Source organism: Homo sapiens, chromosome 14, assembly GCF_000001405.40.
Source record: "Homo sapiens chromosome 14, GRCh38.p14 Primary Assembly".
Lineage (NCBI taxonomy): Eukaryota > Metazoa > Chordata > Mammalia > Primates > Hominidae > Homo > Homo sapiens.
This window is the reverse complement of record NC_000014.9, coordinates 61,953,052-61,977,020: the sequence shown is the minus strand read 5'-3', so window position 1 is coordinate 61,977,020 and position 23,969 is coordinate 61,953,052. Positions and strand designations below refer to the sequence as shown.

Genomic DNA, 23,969 nt, shown 5'->3' with positions numbered 1-23,969 from the left:
CAGCCTTTTGCCCCTGCCCTAGGGTCCTAGAGATCTATGGGACTTTGAACTTGAGAGAAATTATCTGAATTTAAAACTTATGTTTAAAAGGAAAGCAGAGCATGAGCTTGGAAAATGTGCATCCTGACTATGCAATAGAAAAAAAAAAACATTTTCTGGGCAGAAATTCAAGCTGGCTGCAGAAATTTGTATAAGTAATAAGGAGCCAAATGTTAATCACCAAGACAATGGGGAAAATGTCTCCAGGGCATGTCAGAGGTCCTCATGGCAGCCCTTCCCATCACAGGCTCAGAGTCCTAGGAGGACAAAATGTTTTTGTGGGCCAGGCCCAGGGCCTTGCTGTTTTGTACAGTCTCGGGAGTTGGTGCTCTGCATCCCAGTCATGGCTAAAAGGGGCCAACATACAGCTCAGGGTGTTGCTTCAGAGAGTACAAGCCCCAAGTCTTGGTAGCTTACATGTGTTGGGCCTGTGGGTGCACAGAAGTCAAGAATTGAAGTTTGGGAACCTCTGCCTAGATTTCAGAGGATGTATGAAAATGTGTGGATGTCCAGGCAGAAGTTTGCTGCAGGAGCTGAGCCCTCATGGAGAACCTCTACTACAGAAGTGAGAAAGGGAAATGTGGGATGGAAGCCCCCACACAGGGTCCCCACTGGGGCACTACTTAATAATCTGTAAGGAGAGGGCCCCTATCCTCCAGACCCAAGAATGGTAGATCCACCAACAGCTTGCACCATGTGCCTGGAAAAGCCACAGCCACTCAATGCCAGCCCATGAAAGCAACCAGGAGGGGGACTGAACCCTGCAGAGCCACAGGAATGGAGCTGCCAAAGACCATGGGAACCCACCTCTTGCATCAGCATGACCTGGATGCGAGACATGGAGTCAAAGGAAACCATTTCAGAGCTTTAAGATTTGACTGCCCCACTGGATTTTGGACCTGCATGGGGCCTGTAGCCCCTTTGTTTTGGCCAATTTCTCCCATTTGGAATGGGTGTATTTACCCAATGCCTGTACCTGCATTGTATCTAAGAAGTAACCAACTTGCTTTTGATTTTACAGGCTCATAGGTGGAAGGGACTTGCCTTGTCTCAGATAAGACTTTGGACTTGGACTTTTGAATTAATGCTGAAATGAATTAAGACTTTGGGGGACTGTTGGGAAGGCATTATTGGTTTGAAATGCGAAAGAGACATGAGATTTGGGGGGAACCAGGAGCAGAATAATATGGTTAGGCTTTGTGTCCCCACCCAAACCTCATTTTGAATTGTAATCCCCAGAGCTAGAGGAGAAGTTGTTATGGTAACCCTAAGAACCAAATAGGATCCCCATAATCCCCACATGTCAAGGGAGAAACTAGGTGGAGGTAATTGAACCATGGGGATGGTTTCTCTCATGCTGTTCTAATGATAGTGAGTGAGTTCTCACAAGATCTGATGGTTTTATAAGGCACTCTTCCCCCTTCACTTGGCACTTCTTCCAGCTGCCTTGTGAAGAAGGCTCCTGTCTCCCCCTCACCATCCATCATGATTAAGTTTGCTGAGACCTCTACAGACATGCTGAACCGTGAGTCAATTAAACCTTTTTTATTTATAAATTACCCAGTCTTAGGCAGTTACTTATAGCAGTATGAAAATGGACTGACACATGAGGCAATTAAGATCTTGGCCACTGGGGTCAGGCAATGTTTAGTCTGACTCCCAGCCTTGCCATTTAATAGCTTGAAAAAAAATTCACCTCTCTCACCCTCAGTTTTCTCATCTATAAAATGGAGATTATATTACCACCTGTTTGTTGAATTGTGAGTGGGAAAGGTGCACAGATGGTCCTCAACTTACAATGGTTCAACACATGATTTTTTTGTCTTTATCTAATATTCTCAATTTATGATGGGTTTATCTGGAATTAACACCATTGTAAGTGCAGGGGCACGTGTACTTGAACATACTCTCACCTAAATGCAGAAATAAAATGAAAAATATTTTATAACAGCAGTCATTATGGCCCAAGCAAAAAGAATCTGGCCACACCTGCTGGGGCAGGTCAGAAGCCCCTGCTGAATCAGAAGGTATCTGTTTAGTTGCAGGTAGAGAGCAGAGAGTAATCTTGTGCAGGCACCAGCCAGTTGGGCCTTTCTACCAACTGGTAGGGAGAAATTGTCACATTTTAGCAACCATCCTTCTGAGCTCCAGCTGAGCACTAGCTTTGCCTCAATGTACAAAACCTGTTTCCTTACTTACTCAGTGCTCTTATCTTTCTCTGGAGAATCCTCCATCTTCCCAACTCAGTGTTGAGAAACTAAACTTAAACTTGCTACTCAAAGTAACTCGGTCAATTTCATTTTGGATAAAGTATCAGTCTTTGGGATTTCCACTCCCACCTTCATGTTCCCTTACAGCAGGGAGCATCTGGGCACTGGTGTGAGTTTATTTAACATGATGCACTGTTCCTGCTGGCTCCTGCTGACTCCAGGAGAATCAACCTCTGCCTTACAGCATTCCACAGCAGGAGTACCTCTTGGTGATGACCCTAGGCAGCACAAGCTATATAATTTGCAAGACTCAGTGCAAAATGAAAATGCAGGGCCCTTGAAAATCACTAAGGATTTCAAGACTGCAACAGCACATCATCACTAAGCTAAGCACAAGGGCCCTTCTAAGTGTAGGCTTTGTGCAGTTGTGCAGTTCCATGCCCAGGAAGCCAGCTCTGACTACATAAGGCCTTGGATTGTTCATCCTCCAGCCTCCAATACAGGCCCACCTCATGGTAAGCTGCAATAACTCCCCAGCAGGCACATTGACTCATTCCTCTGCTATCTTCTCTGCCCCCGCTCCCACCACCAGGGTCAGGCAGAAATTTCTAAAACAAGTGTTCTCCTGCTCACTGGAGGAACTGTAGCAGCGGCGTCTTCTCAAGTTCTCTCTCCCTCCGGCACCACCAGTATATTTGCCCCACCACAGCCCCCCAGGCCCACATGGGACACCAGTGAGGCAGTCTCCTGCCACAATTCCAAAAAGAAGCATGCGGCACTCTCCTTTCTGACTCTTCTTCGGGCGTGTTGAATTCCAACCTTCTTATCACAACCGGCCTGACTGGGTCCCACATCTGTCCTCCTTCTCAGGGTCTGGTCCAGGAAACACTTCATGGTCTCCAAACCTCTTTCCTTTCACCACTTCAAGTTATGGTCTGCCCTTTCCAGAAGAGGAAGGGCATTCTTCTTCCCTTCCCTGCCTGGGAGGAAATGCCCTCATGTCACATTGTCTATGCTTTCTTAAAAGCATAGACAATGTGCCTCTTAAAATGAAACTCTTTGCGCCAACTCCTAAATTTTGCTTTTGGAATATAAAGTTTTTTGGAAGGGGGCAGCAAACAAAACAAAACAACCGAAATATTCTTTCTCTCTCCCGCCTTCTCTCAAAGCTGGGCTTCTTTTAAAAACTATTGTCTCACTGTGAAATTTTTATTTTTAATCAATTTTTTATCTCAAAGCTGAATATTGGCTTTTTTGTTCCAACTGATATCCATCCTTCCCCAAAGCAATCACTGTCAATGAGCAACACAAGAACATTACATAAAGAAATCAAATAATGCATGTAAAATACTTCGAATAACAATGCATGTAAAATGCTTGGCAATACTAATTGCTAAATAAACAATAGTTACCAATGATCATTATCTGTATTATTATTATTACTATTACCTATGTTATTAGGAAAACACCATTCCAGTTTCTTTGTCCCCTTGCCTAAATCCAGACAGAATGGCATGTGTAAATTCTTTAAACTTTAAAATATATATAGCCTAAAGGAAAGCAAGGTATTTTTGTCAAGCAAATCATTTTGCATAGTAGGTTTGGAAAATAAACATCCACTCTTGCCTCTCTGATGTTACCACATAATCGAAAGGAATTATTTTATTCTTCAGAACCTCACATATATTAAATTAAAATAATTCAGTTTCTGATATTCTATCATTTTTTTATCAACAAAAATGGCAATCTTATATGGTTTAATCTAAGAGTAGGATGGTCGCATTTTTATTAGTTCTCTTCCATTCATAGACTGAAAGCTAGAGAAGAAGTTGCTATGGTAACCCTAAGAACCAAACAGAATCACAGAATGAGAATGGGAGAAGCCTAGTCCAGACTCATCAATTTGCAAATGAAGACTTAAGGCTCAGAGAGGTGAAGTGAGTTTCCCAAAATATCGTGGCCAATTAGTGGCAAAAGTAAGCTCTGTCTGTCTGTACTGGGCTTCTTCCCACCACACTAGGCTGCCTGCCTTCCTTCTTTACGTTTGTCAAAATATGTTAAGAACATCCCAACTTCACTGAGAAATCAGTACTCTGAGGATAATTAAGGCAAATATCAAAGGTTAGACACAATATGGGGTAGAAGCACGTTTTTCAAAGACTTTTGATAACAATAATTAAACTTGTAAAAGGAGAAATGTCAAAGTGAAGGTGTTTGCTTTTTAGACATTATAATTTGGGGATGCTCCTGAAGAAACTATTTTTAAAGCTCCCTTTACATGACCCCACTCTGAATTTGAGACATGTATTTTTCAGTGTTTCCTGAGTGAACAGCTTTTGTTCATGCTTTATTGTTATTGTTTCAACATTCTTAAAACCTCAACTTATTTGCAAGTATAATTCATAATTGTCTCTAAAATATTCAGATAAAATGTCAAACAAGACAAAAAGGAAATATTTTAAATAGTTCTAACCTCAGTTCCTCATAACCATTATAGTTTGCAAAGGAGAAAACATCACCAACTTTAATCTCCCAATTTAAGTAATGAATACAATTCATTAATGTGTGATGTCATTCCTCGCAGCCATTACTGTGACTTGCTATTGCTGTTGCATTGCTATAGGCACCATGCTGGTGTCTCTACAGAATTAATTAATTTAATCTGGGTTGACCCTGTGAGAGATGTACTGATAATCCCAATATGCAAACAAGGAAACTGAAGTTCATAATGGTTCCATAATTTGCCAAGGTCACATAACGAGTGACAGCCAGCTGCTGAAGGGAGAGAAATAGAATCATGATGAATCCTACCTTCATACCACCCCATGGCCAAACAGACATCTGTTCGTCTCACTCACCTATGCCCCAGCTGGGACAATAGTGTCTAAACCATTCATAAGTCCCAGCTTTTGCATGGCAAGCTGTAATTAAAATATTCCATTCTATTTTCAGAATAAGTCATATGTCCCATGGGAAGTTCAAAAAATAAGGCCACTGCGATAGCAGGAATGCCAAAGCAATTGTCAAATCTGCAATTTACACCTCTCCCATTATTATTATCTCACAGAGATATTTAAAAATATATCTGCACACTCTTTGATACTCTTCCCCTCAAAAAGTAGAAGTGAATTTCCTAAACGTAGAGCTTGAGCTGTGCTCAATGAACAAACACAATGTGATAAAAGTGACATTGTAAGACTTCCCATGCTAGGGCATAAAAAGAGCAGTGGCTCCTTGCTTTCTCATGGATCTCTCACTCCAGGGAAAGCCAGCTGCCACATCATAAAGCACTCAAGTAGCCTTGTGGAGGGTTCCACATGGATCTGATCTGAGGCCTTTTGCCATCCTGGAGGGGACTCTGACACCACAGTCCAGCCTTCAGATGACATTCTAACTGAAGCCTTGAGATGACATTCTAACTGCAGCCTTACAACAGACCCTGATCTAGAATCACCCAACTAAGCCACTCCTCAATTTCTGAACTTCAAGAACTGTTAGATAATGAATTTTTGTTAAGTTACTAAGTCTTGGGATAATTTGTTATAAGCAGTAGATAATATGCCTTTATTCCTACATTATGCCTTTCTCGTAACAAGGCAAAAAAGCTGAACTATCCATGGCTACAAAAGCTGCCATATCAGTAACCCAAATCCTCTCCTTGGTCCAGGCATACTTAGAACACATCAAGAACGTAGGATACCTGGAGGGTACTCTCCTCAAGACCTTCCCTTCACTCAAAAAAATGTAAGGTTGCTCCTTGACCAGGTACATCATGCCCCATACCTCGTGGGGTATGGAAAAGGAGAGTAATAATCAGACTGATAAAAAAAAAAAAACAGCAAAGTTATCGTCTGTAAGATAAGAGTATTCTCTTTAAATGTCCCACATCTGTGTGATGATAACCATCCCTCTGTAAGAACATCCTGTATCACAAAGTTCTAGGCTTCAGTAATTGAAAATAGAATATGTCCTTTAAGAGCAGGAAGCCAATTATTTCTTTAAGTGTGTTATTTTTCCCTCATCAAATTGAAGGCAGTGAGTAAGTGACATGGTATACTCAGTGAGCTTAAAGAGTAAAAACCTCCCTTTGGAAAAGTGACCATTGCCATACAAGGTGGGACATGGTCCTGAGCACTGAAAAATCTCAAAAACAGCTAACAAGTGAAATGCCAACATCGTTCTAACATCATGAGACTAAAACGCATCAAGGCTCTTGTCAAACAGAACACATATTTTTTCTCCAAGCATTCATCAGAGGAAAACTCAACAGAGACTTCTAAAGAGCTAAGAAGATGGGAAGTGGTAGTCAGAGCCTCTTCCCATCTGCTCCTTGAGCTCTAGGGAGAACATTACTTTCATAAAGATAATGTATTCTTTAGTAAAGTCGATTCATCATGTCCACCCTGACCCAGACCACAGCAAGTTGCCAAGCCCAGGAGAATTTGAAGCATAATGCTTACCCAGCCCCTTGTGAATCCCAGTCTTGTCTTTAGAATGCTTTCTTTTCCCTCGATGCTCCAGGAAAGGAAGGCCTCCTATCGTTTCAAAACACAGCTTCTTGTTGATGAAGAGGAAGAGGACGGCCAGAAGAACAATAAAGACCCCAACAGCAGACAAGAAGCCAATGGCTTCAGGAGTGACTGGTGAGAGAACACAAAGAAAAAAATATCATCACAATGAGAATGACCTAAGTTTCAGTTCTAACAAATTGTGATCAATGCTATTCAGAATTTTTACTTTTATTAATGAGAAATGACAAACACTCTACAAGTCCTGACTCTGGCTGACATCCCCCAAGACTGTGTACTGGGGAAAGGAAAAGGACTGTTGGCCAGTACATCCTGTGATGCTGGCTCCTCAGATGAGAGACCTCTATACCTTTGAATGTGTAGTTTCTTCTACCTGGAGTACAACTCTTCTTGCTCCTGTCCTCAGCCCAGTATTCAACTTCAAACACACAATTAAGACAGAGTTCAATCAAATGGGTTTAGCTGGACATGGTTGACCAGTGTTATAAAAGCAAGTCTCCAAAAATGCAGCTGCCTAAAGCTTACACAATCATCACTTGAGACAAATTTTCAGATAAATAATTCTACCAATATTAGCGATTGGAGGGAAAGTCATTTCCTGGATACATTTTTGCAAATCCAGCTGTGCAATTTGATCATGGTTATCAACAGCAATAAGAAAATTAATAATTCATGCCATCCATATAAGAAATGCAAATTGTAGTTTTGACTACTAATATTTTAGAATTTTGGCAGATGAAATTCCATTTCTTCCTTCCCCTCCTCCTCCTCATCAGTATCAAAAAACTCTGCCCTTTAACTGACCTGCCTAAGTACTACCCAGTATGCCTCAAAGAGTCCCAGCCATTGCATTCAGCTATAAGTATATATAACAGGGAGACCAGAGAAGCTAGTTCAGAGTTTAGAGAAGAATCCTCTAAGGAAGTGACATTTGAGCCAAAGTAACATTCAGTAAAGACATCCAGAAATTAACTTGTATAAAGGGTTAGATTACAGAACAAATATCAAGAATGATTCAAGGGAATTGGGTATATGTGAACGCTTATGAAAATGAATCTCCTAAGAGCAGCTTTAATCAGTGGGCAGGTTTAATATATGATTTAATAATACAAATAATACAAAGCCTTAATAATATGAAGAGATAATACTCACCTAACCTTACTATCCAGATAAATAGAGAAAAGATTAATCAAACCAATCTCAACACCTTGAAAAGATAAAGAAATAAATGATACTGCCTTACTGAATCAACCTAGTGGCAAGCCAATATAAGAACAAACAAAACAAAACAAAAATAGCAGGCAAGATAATAGCTTTATAGTCTGCAAAATAGCAACAGTGCCTGCTATCAAAACCAACACATACCATGAAAAATAAAGTACATGCATATTGATTATGCCCTCTCCCTTCAGAAGCAGTACCCGGTAGCAGTAGTTATAGGCAAGGGATCAGCAGTCACAGCGCTTGGTTGAAATGACATACCACTTACTATCTGTGTGGCTTCGGCAAATTATTTAACCTCTTTGTGCTTCAGTGTGCTAAACTATAAAAGGAGAAAATAAACACAGCTACATCAAAGATTAACAGAGGTAACACATGGAAAGTAATTGATGTGGCACTTGACAAACAGAGTCCTTAAGTAGGAGTAAACCATCTTTCTCATCACCAACTTTCCAGAGCTACTAAAATATCTAGGAGCAGTCAAATATGGGATGGACCAGCTGCTTTGTACTCAGTCTGAGGTCTGGATCCCATCCTCCTCTTCTCTCTAGCTTTTTGCCCTTCACTCCTATACTGTCAGCCACTCTCCCTTGTGAATGCAGTGTCTTTCTCATTTGCATGAGAAATGAACCAGGTGTCTCCCATCCTTTAAAATTCCCTCCTCACCACCACATGCTCCTCAACCACACCCCTTTATCTTCTTCTTTCCACAATCAACCATCTTCAAAGTATTTTCTGCACTCATCACCATTTTTTTTTCTGAGACAGAGTCTTACTCCATCACACAGGCTACAATGCAGTGGCGCGATCCTGGCTCACTGCAACCTCCGCCTCCTGAGTTTAAGCGATTCTCATGCCTCAGCCTCTTGAGTAGCTGGGATTTCAGGCATGCGCCACCATACCCAGCTAATTTTGGTATTTTTAGTAGAGACGGGGTTTCGGTATATTCCCCAGGCTGGTCTTGAACTCCTGACCTCAAGTGATCTTCCCACCTCGGCCTCCCAAAGTGCTGGGATTACAGGCATGAGCCACCGCACCCAGCCTCATCTCCACTTTCTTACCTCTAAAGTTCCTGGTACTCTATACCTAGATTCCCACTGACCTCCCTGTTTCTAACCTTGCCCCCTCAAGTCCATTCTCCACACAATAGCCAGAACAATCATTCTGAAATGTATAAGTCATTTCATTTATAAGTTTGTTCAATTGCCCTTCTAAAGCCTCCTGTAGCAGGTTGAGCTGTGGCCTCAAGTACATATGTTCACCATGAGTCTCAGAAGGTGACCCTATATGGAATAAAGGTCTTTGAAGATGTAATTAGGGTAAGGATTTTGAAATGAGTTCATCCCAGATTAGGGTAGCACCTAAATTCAATGATGAGTGTCCTTATGAGACAGCAAAAAAAGAAGGCATGGAGAGATGAAAGCCACATGAAGCCCAGGGCAGAGATTCGAGTTACAAAACCTCGAGTTAAGGACTGCGAAGGGTGGACAGCAGTCACCAGAAGCTAGGAGACAGGCACGGAACAGATTCTCCCTCAGAGCCTCCAGAGAACCAACCTGCCAACACCTTGATTTTGAACTGCTGGCCTCCAAAACTGTGAGAGTAGATTTCTGTTGTCTTAAGTCACCAAGTTTGTGGTAATTTGTTGCAATAACAACCCTAGGAAACTAATGCACCATCCAATGGCATCCCATTACCCAGAGGACAAAATCTGAATTCCCTAACTCAGGTTACAAGGCCCTTCATGACCTGGATACTGATTCCAGTCTTTATCGCTCATCATTCTCCAACATCAAACTCTTTCTTGTTGCTGTGTTCACCTATTTCTGGTTCCCCAAACGTAGGTCACACCTCCAGATCTTTGCATATTTCAACTCCCTGGGACAACTGCTCCTCTGGCTAATCTGATACCATGCTTCCTTTGAAACCTTTCTTGTTCTTCTAGACAAAGCTGGATGCTTCTACAGTGTGTTGCCACCTACCAAGCCCTTGACAGCTTCTTCAACCAATTTCAAATGTTAAATTTTAAACTTTATAAGAACAGGGACTATGTCTGAGTTACTCATTGTACTCTCAGCAGCTAGCAAAAGGTAAACATTCAATAAATAATTTGTTGCCTGAATAAATGTTGGAACTCTTCTATGTTACAACACATTGGCCAATGTGCCTGTCAGTGAAAACTCCTGGAAAGACATACCTCAAGGGTGTCAGCAAAACTACCAACATAGGATATGATTTACATTAAGATAGGTCTTAGGAAAAAGAGGATTCATGTATAAGCAGAAACATCTTCATCTTATAATGTCATTAATTAATGAAATTAAATTTTTATTTTTGAATAAAGGATCTTTTTCCATCATAAAAGCAGCATGAAACTCATTACATAAAATCTGCAAAATATGGAAAAAGATAAAACAACTCACTACTAAGATTTTGTGTGCTTCCTTTCAGTCACTTTATCTACATGGCAAATATAAAATTGTAAAGACCTCACTGTTTTGGCTTATAAATATTTGTATTTATTAAAAAGTTTTAATTATTTTTAAATAAGTTAAAGAAAAAATAAGCAATTCATGCATAGAGTAGAATGTTTGGAAAATATTAGAAAATATAAAAATGATGATAATGTTCAATCTTATCACCTGTCACAGTTAATATTTTAGCTTGGTAAATAATTTTTTCTTAACTTTTTTTAATCATAATTGATATACTATTTCATATGCTTATATTAATGAATTTAATGTAAAAACATTCACAGATTGAAGGTAATATGAAGAGATTATTCAATATAATCTCCAAAGACACAAGAAAAAGTGTAGAAAATGGCCCTTATGTTACTCAAAATAACTCTGCTTTTTTGGAGAAGAAACATTTTTGTTAATAACAATTCTTGTAGTAATGGCTTAACTATGGATGGGTATAACATTTTTAAGTAAGTCCCAATATTTTTTTCTTCCCAAAACTATACAGACATTGCTCCATTACCTTTTAGCCTTAATGCTCCATAAATAAGTGTGATGATGCAGCTTACTTTTCGTTACTCTGTGGGCAACAGAATTTTTCAGTCTGTATGCTACTAGAAGCTTTTCCTTTATAACACAAAAATTTTACCAGAATGTATCCTTCTGTGAGTCTCTTTTGTTCATTTTTCCTGGAAGCCAGATTTCATCAGATATCCACAATTTTTTTTTCAAGCTTAGGAGAGTTTTCTTCAATTGCATCTTCGATAATTTATTCTATTTCAACTGCTCTTGTTCCATCTTAAACTACATTACTATTTCTTCAGCTACAAACTTTCATTTTTCCCTATTTGTTTTTTCCTCTACAATCTGACAGATATTAAACATTCCCTACACATTTTCACTAAGTTAAAGAAGTTAAAACATGCTTATAACCACTCTGGCATATGCACTATTATGACCTTTGAATATCTGAGTCAGAGACAAACAGTTAAGATATGGTCTTTCTCCATGCTTTCAGGTTGGGGCAGGGGTGAGGGATGGGGAACACTAGAAATAAGTTCAAGTCTAGCTAAGGAAAGAGAAAGCTTAGTTCAGTTAGAGAGAGGTTAGAGAAAGGCAAGTTTGGTTATTTCAAAAGAGTTCATGTTTCTTCCGGAATCTATTAATTTCAATTTCATCTTTTTCTGTGCTTATGAGTACTTAGTGAGAAGTCTAAAGAAGTGCATGAAGGACTCTTAGCCATAGCTATGTTAAACTGTAGATTTGATTACATGCTTTCTAAATAAGTAGAGTGTCATAGCAATGACTCAGAAGGCGGCAACACAAGACTTATAGGATTGCCTAATCAGGGTTGCACAAAAAGGGCCCTGTTTAGACATGTTTAAAATTCCAAATGTAACTCAGCAATTCCACTCCTAGGTATGCACCCAAGAGAATTGAAAATGCAGTCATACCTTGGATATAGTGCAGGTTTAGCTCCAGACCATCACAATAAAGCAAAAATCACAACAAAGCAAGTCACACAATTTTTTTATTTCCCAGTGCATATAAAAGTTATGTTTACACTATACTGTAGTTTCTTAAATGTGCAATAGCAGGATATCTTTAAAAAACCATGTGCATACCTTAATTAAAAATACTTTATTGCTAAAAAAAAAAAAGCTAAAAATCACTGATCCCTCAGTGAAACATAATCTTTTTATTTATGGAGGATGTCTCAATGTTATGGCTGTTGAATGATCAGGACAGGTAGTTGCTGAAGGTTGGGGTGGCTGTTACCTTAAAATAAGACAACAATGAAGTTTGCCTCATCAACTGACTCTTCCTTTCATGAAAGATTTCTCTGTAGCATATGATGCTGTTTGAGAGCATTTTATCCACAGCAGAAAGTCTTTCAAAATCCTCTCAAACTCTTCCACTGCTATATCAACTAAGTTTACGCAGCATCCTAAATCCTTTGTTGTCATTTCAACAATGTTCACAGCATCTTCACTAGGAGTGGATTCTATCTCAAGAAACCACTTTCTTTGTTTATCTATAGGAAGGCCACTTTTCATCTGTTCAAGTTTGACCATGAGATTGCAACAATTCAGTCACATCGTTAGGCTCCATTTCTAATTCTAGTTCACTGGCTATTTCCATCACATTTGCAGTTACTTCTTCCACTGAAATCTTGAGCCCCACAAAGTCATCCAAGAGGGTTAGAATCAACTTCTTCCAAACTCTTGTTAATATTGATATTTTGACCTCCCATGAATCATAAATGTCCTTAATAGCATCTAGAATGGTGAACCTTTCCAAATGTTTTCAATGTGCTTTGCCCATATGAGTCAGAGGAATCACTATCTATGGAAGTTATAGCCTTGCAAAACATATTTCTTAAATAATGAGCTTGAAAGTTGAACTTACTCCTTGAACCCATTGGCTGCAGAGTGGATGTTGTGTTAGCAGGAATGTAAACAACATTTTTCTCCTTATACATCTCCATCAGAGCTCTTGCATGACCAGGTGCATTGTCAGCGAGCAGTAATATTTTGAAAGGAGTCTCCTTTTTCTGAGCAGTAAGTCTCAACAGCGGGTTTACAATATTCAGTAAACCATCCTATAAATAGATGTGCTGTCATCCAGGCTTTGTTGTTCCATTTCTAAAGCACAGGCAGACAAGACTGAGCATAATTCTTAAGGGTCCTGGAATTTTTTGAATGGTCAATGAGCATTGGCTTCAATTTAAAGTCACCAGCTACATCAGCCCTTACCAACAGGGCCAGCTCGCCCTTTGAAGTTTGAAGCCAGGCATTGACGTCTCCTCTCTAGCCATGAAAATCCTAGGTGGCCTCTTCTTCCAGTAGAAGACTGTTTGGTCTACATTGAAGATCTGATCTTAGGTAGACCATCTGTATAACTTGCTGCTGCTACATCAGCACTTGCTGCTTCACCTTGCTCTTTCATGTAATGGGGATGGCTTTTTTCCTTGAACCTCAGGAACCAACCTCTTCTGGCTTCAAGCTTTTCTTCTGCAGCTTCCTGACCTCTCTCAGCCTTCATAGAATTAAAGAGACTTAGGGTTTTACTCTGGATTAGGCACTGCCTTAAGGGAATGCTATAGCTGGTTTGATTTTCTATATAGACCACTAAAACCTTCTCCATATCAGCAATAAGGCTGTTTTGCTTCCTTATCATTTGTGTGTTCACTGGAGTAGCACTTTTAATTCTCTTCAAGACTTTTCCTTTGCATTCACAACTTGGCTAGCTGTTTGGTACAAGAGATCTAGCTTTTGGCTTATCTCAGCTTTGGGCATGTCTTGCTCATGAAGTATAATAATTTTCAGCTTTTGATTTAAAGTGAGAGACTCTTGCTTTCACTTAAATACTCAGAGGCCATTGGAGGGTTGTTAATTGGCCTAATTTTAATATTGTTGTGTCTCAAGGAATAGGAAGGCCTGAGGAGAGGGAGAGAGATGGAGGAACAACTGGTCAGTGGGGCAGTCAGAACTTACACAATATTTATCGATTAAGTTATTCCATGGACACTATTGCAGTTCTAGAAATTGACCCTAAGGAAATGGAGATACATAAACTGCTTGACAAATACATCAAAATAACCATCTTTAAAAAGCTCAGTGAGCTATAAGAAAACACAAATAGACTAATTAAATCAGGAAAACAATATGTGAGCAAAATGAGAAGTACAACTAATAAATAGAAGCCAGAAGAAATAAAGAACCAAACACAAATACTAGAATTGAAGATACAATGTCTGAACTGAAGAGAGAGCTTCAACTTACTCAAGCAGAATAAAGAATGAGTGAACTCAAAGACAAGTCATCTGACATTATCCAGTCAGAGGAACAGAAAGAAAAGAATGAAAAGAGTAAAGAAAGTTTACAAGACTCATGAGACACTCTCAGGTGAACAAATATATGCATTATGGAAGTCCAAAAAGGAGAATATAGAAAGGGGCAAAGAGTATATTTAAGGAAATAATCACCAAAACTTCCTAAATACTGGGAGGAACATAGACATCCAGATTTATGAATCTCAAAACTCTCTAGATTGAACACAAAAAGATCTATACCGAGACACATTAGAATTAAACTGTCAAAAGTCAAAGAGAAAAATTTTGAAAGAATCAAGAGAAAAGCCACATGTCACATTCAAGAGACGCCCAAACAGACTATCAGATAATTTCCCAGCAGAAACCTTGCAGGACAGAAGACAATGGGATGATATAAGTACTGGGAGAAAAACTACAAAACAAAAATATTTACCTGGCAAAACTTTTTTTTTTAACTTTTAAGTTCAGGGATATATGTGCAGGTTTTTTATATAGCTAAATTGGCATGTCACAGGGGTTGGTGTATAGATTACTTCATCACCCAGGTAATAGGCATAGTATCCAATAGGTGGTTTTTCAAATCTTACCCTCCTCCCATTCTCCATCCTCAAGTAGGCCCTGGTGTCTGTTGTTCCCTTCTTTGTGTCCCTGTGCTCTCAATGTTTAGCTCTCACTTATAAGTAAGAACAGGCGTTATTTGATTTTCTGTCCCTGTGTTAGTTTACTTAGGATAATGGCCTCCAGCTCCATCCATGTTGCTGCAAAGGACATAATCTCATTCTTTTCTATGGCTATGTAGTATTCCACAGCATATATGTACCACATTTTCTTTATCAAGTCTACCATTGATGGGCATTTAGGTTGATTCCATGACTTTGCTACTGTGAATGGTGCTGCAATGAACATATGCATGCACGTATCTTTATGGTAGAATAATTTATATTCCTTTGGCTATATACTCACTAATGGGATTGGTGGGTTGAATGGTAATTCTGTTTTAAGTTCTTTCAGAAATCACTAACCTGCTTTCCACAATAGCTAAACTAATTTACATTCCCACCAGCAGTGTATAAGTGTTCACTTTTCTCCACAACCTTGCCAGCATCTGTTATTTTTTGACTTTTTAATAATATTCATTGTGACTGGTATACGATGATGTCACTTTGTGGTTTTGATTTGCATTTATATAATGATTAGTGACATTGAGCATTTTTTCACTTACTTGTTGGCCACGTGTATGTCTTTTGAAAAGTGTCTGTTCATGTACTTTGCCCACTCTTTAACAGGGTTGCTCATTTTTGCTTGTAAGTTTTTTTAAGTTTCTTATAGATTCTGAATATTAGACCTTTGTTGGATGGATAGTTTGCAAATAGTTTCTCCTATTCTGTAGGTTGTTAGTTTACTCTGTTGATAGTTTCCTTTGCTGTGCAGAAGCTCTTTCCTTTAATTAGGTCCCAGGTGTCAATTTTTGTCACTGTTGCAATTGCTTTTGGCATCTTTGTCATAAAATCTTTACCAGGATTGATGTCCAGAATGGTATTTCCTAGGTTACCTTCCAGGGTTTTTATAGTTTTAGGTTTTACATTTAAGTCTTTAATCTATCTTGAGTTAATTTTTTGTATATGGTGTAAAGAAGGTGTCCCGTTTTAATTTCCTGCACATGGCTAGCCAGTTATCCCAGCACCATTTATTGAATAGGCAGTCTTTTCCTCATTGCTTATTTTTGTTGACTTTGTCAAAGATCAGATGATTGTAGGTGTATGGCATTACTTCTAGGCTCTCTATTCTGTTCCATTGACACAAGTGTCTGTTTCTGTGCCAATACCATGCTGTTTTGGTTACTGTAGCCTTGTAGGATATTTTGAAATCAAGTAATGTGATGCCTCCCAGTTCTGTCCCAACATCATACTGAATGGGCAAAACCTGGAAGCATTCCCCTTGAAAACCAGCACAAGACAAGGATGGCCTCTCTCATCACTCCTACTCAACATAGTACGGCAGTCATGGCCAGAGCAATCAGGCAAGAGAAAGAAAAAAAGAGCATTCAAATAGGAAGAGAGGAAGTCAAACTATCCATGTTTGCAGATAATATTATTCTATACCTAGAAAACCCCATAGTCTCTGCCCAAAAGCTCCTTGATCTGATAAACAACTTCAGCAAAGTTTCAGGATACAAAATAAATGTATGAAAATCACTGGCATCCCTATACACAAGTAATATCCAAGCTCAGAGCCAATCAAGAACAAAATCCCATTCACAATAGACACAAAAAGAATAAAATACCTCAGAATACAGCTAACCAGGAAAGTGAAGGATCTCTACTATGAGAACTACAAAACACTGCTCAAAGAAATTAGAGATGACACAAACAAACAGGAAAACATTCCACGCTCATGGGTAGGAAGAATCAATATTTTTTAAATGGACATACTGCCCAAAGCAATTTATAGATTCAATGTTATTTCTATCAAACTACCAGTGACATTCTTCACAGAATCAGAAAAAACTACTTTAAAATTCATATGCAAACAAAAAAGAGCCTGAATGAAGAAGGCAATCCTAAGCAAAAAACCAAAACTGTTCTTTAAGAATGAAAAAGATATAAAGACTTTCCCAAATAAAAACTGAGTTAAGGAAGCTGAAGTGGGCAGATCACTTGAGCACAAGAGTTCGAGACCAGCCTGAGCAACATGGAGAGACCCCATCTCTACAAAAAATTTAAAAGTCAGGCATGGTGGCATAGACATGTAGTCTCAGTTATTATACTTGGGAGGCTAAGGTGGGAGGATCACTTGAGCCTAGGAGGTCAAGGCTGCAGTGAACCCATGATTGCACCACTGCACTCCAGCCTGGGTGACAGAGTGAAACCCTGTCCCCCGAGCCCCACAAAAAAACTAAGGTAGTGCACCACCATTAGACCTGCCTTACAAGAAGTACTCAAGGGAATTCTTCAAGTGGAAATGAAAAGATGCTAAAGAACACAAAAAGAATATGAAAATATAAAACTCACTACTAAAGGTAAATATAAACACAGAATATTGTGCTACTGTAGTGGCAGTGTGTAAATCTCATTTAACACAAGAATGTAAATTAAAAGAAAAGATAGTAAGAATAACTATAACCACAGAAATTTGTTCATAAAAACATAACATACCAAGAAACAAAATATGACGTCAGTTGCACAAAGCGTTGGGGGAAGACATAAAGTGCAGAACTTGTGTATGTGATTGAAGTTATCAGCTTAAAATACACTGCTATAACTATAAACTGTTCAATGTAAACTCCATAACAAAAAAGTACAGTAGATGCACACAAGATAAAAAAATTAATCAAAGCATACCACTATAAAAAAAATCAAAACACAAAGAAAGACACTAAGAGAAAAAGAGAGGAAGAAGAGAACTACAAAAGAGACAGAAAACAATTAACAATATGGCAATAGTAAGCCCTTATCTATCAATAATTCCATTAAACATAAGTGAACTAAATGTTCCAATTAAAAGACATATAATGGCTGAATAGATTAAAACAAAAAACAAGACCTAACTATATGCCACATATAAAAGAGTCACGTTAGATTTAAGGACACACATAGGCTGAAAAGGAAAATGGTAGATAAAGATATTCCATGCAAATAGTAACCAAAAGACAGCAAAGTGGCTATACTCATATTAGACAAAATGGACACTAAGACAAAAACTGTCACAAGAGACAAAGAAGGGCATTTCATAATGACAAAAGGGTCAATTCTACAGGGATCTATCACAACTAAAAATATATATGCTCCAAACATGAAAACACCCGAAATATAAAACAAACATTGACAAATCTGAAGTGAAAAATAGGTAGCAATGCAATATAATAAAAGACGTCAATATCCTACTCTCTATAATGTATAGACCATCTAGACAAAAAAAATCAATAAACAGCAGAACTAAATAACACTACAGGCCAAATGGACCTAACAGATACATACAGAACATTCCACCCAACAGCAGCAGAGTAATCATTCTTCTCAATTACACACAGAACATTCTACAGCATGGATAACATGCTAGGTCACAAAACAATTCTTAACAAACTTAAGAAGACTGAAATCATTACAAATACATTTTTCAGTCACAATGAAATAAAACTGAAATAACAGAAAAAATGGGAAATTCACAAATACATGGAAATTAAATAATACACGCAAATAATTATGAGGTCAAAGAATGAATCAAAAAGGAAATTAATATTTATCAAGACACAAAAAATACAACATACGAAATCATATGTGACTCAGGAAAGCAGTACTAGAAGAGAAGTTTAAAGCAATAAATACGTACATTAAAGGAGAAAGATCTCAAATAAAAAACCTAACTATATACCTCAAGAAACAGAAAAATAAAAAAATACTAAACAAAAAATTAGCAGAAGGAAGAAAATAGTAAAGGTAAGATCAGAAAAAAAATGGACTAGAGAATGGAAGAACAATTTTAAAAACTGAAAAAACTGAGTTGTTTTTCTGAAAAGATAAACAAAATCAACAAACCCTTAGCTGAATTAAGAAAAAAAAGGGAACTCAAAATCAGAAATGAAAGGGAAGATATTACAACTGAACCTACAATTAAAAAGAATCATAAATGAATATTATGAATAATTACATATAAATGAATTAGACAACTTAGAAGAAATGGAGAAGTTCCTAACAATATACGACCTACCTAAAACAAGAAGTAACAGAAAGCCTGAACAAACCAATGACAAATTAGGATATTGAAGGAATAATAAAAAAACTCCCAACAAAGTCGAGCCCAGGACAAGATGGCTTCATAAGTTTATTCTAACAAACATTTAAAGAATTAATAACAATCCTAAAACTCTTAAAAAGAGAAGAAGAGGGAACACTTCCAAACTCATTTTATGAGGCCATTATCACCAAATACCAACACCAGACAAAACCACCACAAGAAAATAAAACTAGAGGCCAATTTCCCTGATAAATGAATATACAAAAATCTTCAACAAAAACACTAGCAAACTGAGTTCTACAGCACATTAAAAGGATCATACATCAAGATCAACTGAGATTTATCCCTGTGATGCAAGGATGGTTCCACATACACAAATCAATCCATGAAATATGCCTCATTAACATAATGAAAGATAAAAATCACATAATCATCTCAATAGATGCAGAAAAAGCATCTGACAAAATTCAACATTGTCTCGTAATTGAAAAACTCTCAATAAGTATAGAAGGAACTTACTTCAACAAAATCAGGGCCACTTATTCAAAGCCCACAGGTAACATCATTTCAACAATGAAAAGTGGAAAGCTTCCCTCTAAGATCCAAAATAAGACAAGGATGACCATACTATGAGCTCCAATATAGTCCTGAAAGTCCTAACCAGAAAAATTAGGCAAGATAAAGAAATAAAAGTCATCCAAATCAGAATGGAAGCAGTTAAAACTTTCTCTGTCTGCAGATGCCATAAGCTTCTATGTAGAAAACCCTAAAGACTCTTAAAAAAAATAATAAAAAACTGTTAGAACTAATCAGTGAATTCAGTAATGCTGCAGGATTTAAAAATTAACATATAAAAATCAGTTGTGCTTCTATACACTAACAATGACCTATTTGAATGAGTAATTAGAAAACAATTGCACTTACAATATCAAAAAGAATAAAATACTTAAGAATAAACTTAAGGAGGTGAAAGACTTATACATGGAAAACTACAAAACATTGATGAAAGAAATTTTAAAAGATACAAATAAATGGAAAGACATCCCATGATCATGAATTGGAATAATAAATATTGTCTATTTTAGCAATGTACAGATTTAAAAAAAATCTATAGATTTAATGCAATCCCTGTCAAAATCACAATAGCATGTTTTAAAGCAATAGAAAAAAAAAATCCTAAAGCTTATTTGAAATCATAAAAGACTCTTAATAGCCAAAGCAATACTGAGTAAGAAAAACAAAAGCTAGAGGTAGCACACTCCCTGATGTCAAAACATATTGCAAAGCTATAGTCATCAAAACAGCATGGCACTTACATAAAAACAGAGAGATAGCTCAATGGAGCAGAATAAAGAGCCCAGTGATAAACAGACATGAATATGGTCAACTGATCTTTGACAAGGGTGTCAAGAGTACGCAATTGGGAAAGAACAGTCTTTTCCACAAATGGTTCAGTAAAATTGGATATCCACATGCAAAACAATGAAATTGGACCCTTATCTCATACCACACACAAAAATCAACTCGAAATGGATTAATGACTTAAACATAAGACCTGAAACAATAACACTTTTAGAAGAAAACGTAGTTTTAAAAGCTGCTAAACACTGAACTGGGCAAATCAATTCTTAGATAGGACACCAAAAGCACAGACAACAAAAGCAAAAATAAACAAACAGGATTACATCAAACTAAAAAGTTTCTGCACAGCAAAGGAAACAATTAACCAAATGAAAAGGTAACCTATGGAATGAGGGAAAATATTTTCAGACCATATATCTGATAAAGGATTAATATTAAAAATACATAAGGACCTCCTAAAACTAAATAGCAAACATACCAAATAACCCAATTAATAAATGGGCAAAGGACCTAAATAGGCATTTCTCCAAAGATGGCATGTAAATGACCAACAGGTACTCAAAATCACTAGTCATCAGGGAAATGCAAATCAAAACCACCATGAGATATCACCTCAGATCTGTTAGAATGACCATTATGAAAGAAAGAGAAAGCGAAAAATAAAAGAAAAAAGGAGCAAGTGTTGGGGAGGATATGAAGAAAAGGGAACCCTTTTACAGTGTTGATGGGAATGTAAATTGGTACAGACACTATGAAAACCAAGATGGATATTCCTCAAAAAATTAACCATAGAATTACCACTTGACCCAGCAATCTAGCTTGTACATACATTCAAAAAGGAATTAAAATCTGAATCTCAAAAAGATATCTGCACTCCCATGTTCATTGAAGTATTATTCACAATAGCCAAGATACGGAATCAACCTAAGTATCCATCAATGGATGAATGGATAAAGAAAATGTGGTATATACATAAGATAAAATATTATTCAGCCTTAAAAAAAAGAAATCCTGCCATTTGTGACAACATGAATGAACCTAAAGAACATTATGCTAAGTAAAATAAGACACACAGAGAAAGATAAATACGGTACCACATGATCTCATATACGCAATAGATTTATAATAGTCAAACACATAGAAGCAGAGAGAATGTTAGTTGCCAGCGGCTGGAGCAGAAAATGGGGAGTTGTAGTTCAACAAATATCAAGTTTCATTTATACAAACTAAATAAGATCTGGAGATCTACTGTACAATATAGGGCCTATGATCGACAATACTGTATTGTATATGTAAAAAATTTGCTAAAAGGATAGATTTTATGTTAAGTACTCTTGACTTCACCCCCAAAATAGTGGGGAGGGACAGTATGAAACTTTTAGAGGCAATGAACAAGTTTATACCATTGATAGTGATGATGGCTTGATCATTTCACAGGTACATACTTATCTGCAAACACATCAAGCTGTCTACACTAAACACCCACAGCTTTTGTATGTTAATCACACCTCAATAAATCAGTTAGGTACTATATACCATCCTGCTATGGTAAAGACTGAAAAACTGAAGTACTAATACATGCTACATTATGGGTGAACCTTGAAAACATTATTAAAAGGGTCTGAATTTTATGATATATGAATTTTATCTCAAAAAAAGTTTTAAATTCAAAATATATATATTTTTTAAAATCATAATTTCCTTAGATTTTGTTTGAGAGTTATTTCCTTCATATTTAAAGATTCTGCAATTTTATTATTCAACATTTAGAATTAAAAATAAAGTTTAAATATTATAGGTCATGAGAATTGTAGTCAGCACAGTGCTACAATTAATGTGTAACACCGAACAGAGCAAGCCAACAGCTCTATCAGTGTAAGCCAAGGTGGCATCTGAGTCTAAACAAAATTAGAGACTTTGACAGGGAAGCTTTAAAGGCATGTTGCATCCCTATATACAAATGCTATAGTGAAGAAAAGCAGTATATATATCATCTGCTATAGATGACAAGGGCACATATGTCAAGAAATTTAAGTGCCATCTGCAGAGTAACTCGTCTAATTATTCCAGTAATTACTAAATTGGAAATCAGATGGCTGTAAAGTTTGGTCACACAGTTCATGCTAAAAACTTCCTCAAAGTTAACTGTATGTCTGGCGTGCCACTGGATAGCCCCATCTGTTGATTTTCAAGCAATGGCTCAAGGAGAAGGCAGAACATATAACGACATAAATAGAGATGCTTCAGCATGTCACACAGTCACTAGATGTTTGTAAATTTCATTCCATGGTTGGTGAAGGGGTAAAAAAAAAAAAAAAAAGGCTAACCAATTGCAGCCATCTGACTCACAACAAGAACTAGAAATAAGATTAAAGGAAGCTGAAAGTTTATTTAACAAAATAGTAAGGAGGGAACCAGATAACTGAGCAAAAACAATATGAACAATTAGAAAGTAAAGGTATAATTTCACAGGTATTATAAACTTTCTGCCATCACTGTGGGAAGTGTGAGGAATCTCATTAAAAACATGAGGAAAGCCTGAGGTAAATCTAAAATGCCACTTATAGATCCCTCCCATCTTTGAGTATCCATTAACCTGAAAGTTCTCCTTCCAATGAAATAACCTCAGTTTCACTCATCCATTTAGAAAGCAGCAGAAGTTTGAAACATTCTATGATGTTTTCAAACAGTCATGCAGCAGAAGTCCCTGACTTAAACCTAAGCTTTGTTTGGATTCTGGTCTTGCTTCAGCATGACTACATTCTCCTCCAGGAATCCACTTCCCTAAGGACCACAGCGCCTCCCAGGAAAGGCAGTGAACAAGGTCAGAGTAGAGGTGACCTGGGTACAGCACAGCTGTCTACCACTCAGGTTGACCCAAGCCCAGACTCCTTCAGTCCCAGGATAAGGAAGTGACAATCAAAGGTATAGCATTAGGTATCAGCAGCTTTTGCAAAACAAGGAGATGTTTTCAAAGGCAATTTCAGCAGCAGTAAGAGGTGAGGCCCTAGACCTCAGAATTCAACAGGATGGTGGAGACAGCAATTGGCTCCAGCAACAGTGCTGGTCACTTTCAGTGTCACCAGCAATTTAGGAGGTCACCATGGGGGAACCAGAGAGAGCAAGAGAGCAAATGCTGTGAACAAAAGGCTTGGTCCACAGAGTACAAGAGAGAGGTCTCCTGGAGACCTCTAGAACTACTTGGCAGGCATTATATGGAGGTTGAAGTTTTCAAAGAGGAGATTAAAAAAAAAAATTTGGACCATTTCTCTTGCTTTGACCAGCATAATCACAGATACTACAGTTTATGTTCAGATTTTCTTTGCAATCAACAAAAAGGAGGTAAGAAATTGGAAACCTTTAAGCACTGACAACCAATGTGTCTGTTCTCTATAAAAAGCAACTTAAGGACACAAATTAAAAATATCTGCACAATTAGACTCATTTCTATATTAGTTGTTTATACAACCAACTACAAAATTAAATAAGCCACTTAAAAATTAAAACAGAACAAGTTACACTGAGAGCTTTAATTTTCCTTTTTTGCTATGTGATGCTTCTAGAACTAAAAGAAGAG

The 23,969-nt window shown here is 37.6% G+C and overlaps 1 protein-coding gene across 14 annotated transcripts in view; it reads right to left on the bottom strand.

The window, feature by feature from the left end:
* SYT16 (synaptotagmin 16) overlaps window positions 1-23,969 on the bottom strand; it is a 300,664-nt gene that overhangs the window by 135,805 nt on the left and 140,890 nt on the right. For all 14 annotated transcript variants that reach the window (NM_001367650.1, NM_001367661.1, NM_001367659.1 and 11 more), the window contains one exon: window positions 6,710-6,889. Coding sequence is in view for 6 of the 14 variants with exons in the window: in NM_001367659.1 (NP_001354588.1) it covers window positions 6,710-6,889 (180 nt within the window). In the remaining 8 variants the exon portion in view is untranslated. The remainder of the gene's footprint in view (window positions 1-6,709; window positions 6,890-23,969) is intronic.